We start from the raw sequence: 3,528 nt of genomic DNA, 5'->3' as shown, positions 1-3,528 counted from the left end.
TTAATTCCCCTGGCATCATTCACTGAAGAGAAGTTATTACACATGGAAAACCATTAGAAATATATACAGAAGAAAGCTAGGTGGACATATTTATAACATCTATGCTGTATATACGTGTGTGTATATACATATATATGTATATATGTATATGTATATGTATATATGTATGTATATATATATGTGTATATATGTATGTGTGTATGTATATATATGTATATGCACGTTCACAAAAATAATTGGGACACATTAGAGATTATCAGCAGTCAGCCTCTGTATCTGTGGGTTTGGCATCTGTGGATTCCATCAACCACAGATCAAAAGTATATTTTTGAAAAGGATGGTTTCATCTGTACCAAAGATGTACAGACATTTTTTCTTGTCATTATTTACTAAACAATACAGTATAACAACTACTTACTGATCATTTACATTGTATTTGGTATCATAAGTCATCTAGAGATGATTTAAACTATATAGGAGGATACGCCTTTAATCCCAGCAATTTGGGAGGCCGAGGTGGGTGGATCACTTGAGGCCAGGAGTTTGAGACCAGCTGGACCAATATGGTGAAACCACATCTCTACTAAAAATACAAAAATTAGCTGGGAGTGGTGGTGCGTGCCTGCAATTCCAGCTACTCAGGAGGCTGAGGTACGAGAATCGCTTTAACTCGGGAGGCAGAGGTTGCAGTGAGCCAAGATCATGCCACTACACTCCAGCCTGGATGAGGGAGTGAAACTCTGTCTCTAAGTAAATAAATAAACAAACAAATAAAGTATATGGGAGGGTGTGCTTAGGTTATATGCAAATATGATACCATTTCGTATAAGGGACTTGAGCATCCATGGATTTTGGTATCCATTGGGGTCCTAGAACCAATCCCCATTGATACTGAGAGACAACCATATTTAGAAGATAAATCTATTCTGATTTTTCCTTTTAAATAACCCAGCAGCCTAGAGTTAAATATGTAAAAATTCATTGTAATGATAAAATTATTTTGTATTCCATTCAATATATTTTCTTTGGGGAAAACAATTGGCATTAAAATACTATTGGGGAAATAAAATCAATCAAATGTAAATCATCTACAGAGTATCCAAATTGAAGTTGTAAGAATGCAGAGCAACTAGACAGAAGCAAAGTAGTGTAGGAAACAGAATCAACTCAAAGATTAACATTAACTTGAAATGATCTTTTCCAAAATATGAAGAATAGTAAGACAGCTATTTTACATTCTGTAAAAACAGTTTTGAGTTAACAAGAGAAGTCTGGCTCCAACAAGGACCACCAGACTCGAAGCTAAAGATAGTGCTGAGGACACTAAGTAGCTCACTCAACTCACATTCTTGTGGCCACCCCATAACAAAGGGAAAGCCTGTGGCATCTTTTATGTCATTGTTGAAAGGGGTTTAGGTCTAAGTGTTGAGGGCAAAGCTTATTTTCCTATATATCCTAGGATCATTGGTGCATATCTTTTGTGGACAAATATATAAATATTTTGGCTTACTTTTGAGAATTTTTCTGCTCTTTTTCCTGCCAAGTGTTACTTATATTTTCCACAGAATAAATGTGTGCAACTTCAAAAGCAGCACCATCCATTAGAAAAGTTTCCATAAAATCACAAATGGATTATTTGAAAGCCCTGTGTTTAATAATGGAGAAAAAAATCCTCAGCACCTACAATGCATTGTTGTAAACATGCTATGCAGGAAAACAAATATTGGGTGGCCTTGATGGAATGAATCAACTTTCCGAAGACCAAATTCATTTCAGAGAAAAAAATTTTTTGATTAAATTTCTATTACAGAATTTACTCAGAAATTGTAAAAATTATAAAAATAAATGGAATATTATAAGCAGTTGCTCTTTATAAACAGAAATAATTGGAAAGAAAGAAATGAAACTGGCCAGGCTCAGTGGCTTACATCTGTAATCACAGTGCTTTGGGAGGACAAAGTGGGTGGATGGCTTGAGCCCAGGAGTTCGAGGCCAGCCTGGGCAACATGGTGAAACCCCATCTCTACAAAAACAATACAAAAATTAGCTGGGTGTGGTGGCATGAGCCTGTAGTCCCAGCTACAGGCTGAGGTGGGAGGATCGCTTGAGCCCGGGAGGTCGAGGCTGCAGTGAGCCATGATCGTACCACTGCACTCTAGCCTGGGTGACAGAATGAGACTGTGTCTCAAAAAAGATAAAATAAAATAAAATAAAAATGAGAATAAAAGAAATAAAATTATGAGCCCTCAAAAATGCTTCCTGTTTTCTATCAACTGCTAAACCTACCAAAACATGGATTAAAGAATGCTGGTGTCACTGTCCTTATCAATTTAGCAAACACTCAGACAGTGTTCATTGTGTGTCAGGCACAGTTCTAAGCATTTTACAAGTATTAACTCATTGAATGCTCATCATAACCCAGGAGCAAAGACTGCTACTGTCCCATTTTACAGCAGGAGAAACAGAAGCACAGAGCTGGTAAGGAGCAGAGCCTGAATTCAACCCCAGCTCTGATCCCAGCATCCCTGCTCCTCACCCCTACTCTTTTGCCTCTTGGATATACTTTCGCTGTTTGTATTATTTTCTGGATGATGACCCTTGCAGAAAGAAAACAATTCAGGCTAGGCATGGTGGCTCATCCCTGTAATACCAGCACTTTGGGAGGATGAGGCGGGCAGATCACTTGAGGTCAGGAGTTTGATACAACCTGGCCAACATGGCGAAACCCCATCTCTATTAAAAATACAAAAATTAGCCAGACATGGTGGCGGGTACCTATAGTCCCAGCTACTGCAGAGGCTGAGGCAGGAGAATCGCTTGAACCTGGGAGGCGGAGGCTGCAGTGACCTGAGATTGTGCCATTGCACTCCAGCCTGGGCAACAGAGCGAGATTCCACCTGAAAAAGAAAGAAAGAAAGAGAGAGAGAGAGAGGAGAAAGAGAGAAGAAAGAAAGAAAGAAAGAAAGAAAGAAAGAAAGAAAGAAAGAAAGAAAGAAAGAAAGAAAGAAAGAAAGAAAAGAAAGAAAAGAAAGAAAAGAAAGAAAACAATGCAAATTGTGTGGCAATGCAGTATGCCATGGCCAGCAATGCTTGTAACAGGGGGCCTGAGAGAGCTTTCTTATTTGTCATTTGTCATCTCCCATTGCATTCCTCTCCCCACTTCCTGAGACGCTGCAAGCCCCTTTGCCTCCTGTCTGCCTTCAATTTCTGACTTTACCGCTTTTTGATTTCCCTCCCTTGCCTGGTTTCTGTTAGTTAAAGCCCAATTGGATAAAGAGGAAACAATCTGGGTTGGTGGACTTGAGTCTTTCCCTGTTCCTCTCAGTTTTCAGTCTTTATTCTAAATCATTATCTTCCTGAAAGCTATGAATTTATCTCTGAGTCTCATAGGTGATTGGGCCTAGCCTTATACAACCTAGCCTTAGGATGTATCCACTGATATGCTAAACTTTATATGTTCCAAGAACCAGTATCTTAATTAATCTTGGTTCAGCCCCACTTCTCAAAAGCATTCTTTTATCATCTCTA

General features: G+C 38.8%; 1 annotated feature.

Moving 5' to 3' along the window:
• Window positions 1,065–1,602: an enhancer, noted in NCBI's record as "NANOG hESC enhancer chrX:11699422-11699959 (GRCh37/hg19 assembly coordinates)". NCBI's record gives its function as "activates a minimal SCP1, AML or CMV promoter by ChIP-STARR-seq in naive H9 embryonic stem cells {active_cell/tissue: H9 hESC(naive)}" and the evidence as "EXISTENCE:reporter gene assay evidence [ECO:0000049][PMID:30033119]".

This window comes from Homo sapiens, chromosome X, assembly GCF_000001405.40.
Source record: "Homo sapiens chromosome X, GRCh38.p14 Primary Assembly".
NCBI classification, from domain to species: domain Eukaryota; kingdom Metazoa; phylum Chordata; class Mammalia; order Primates; family Hominidae; genus Homo; species Homo sapiens.
The sequence above is the reverse complement of the archived record's forward strand: the minus strand, read 5'-3'. Positions and strand labels throughout refer to the sequence as shown.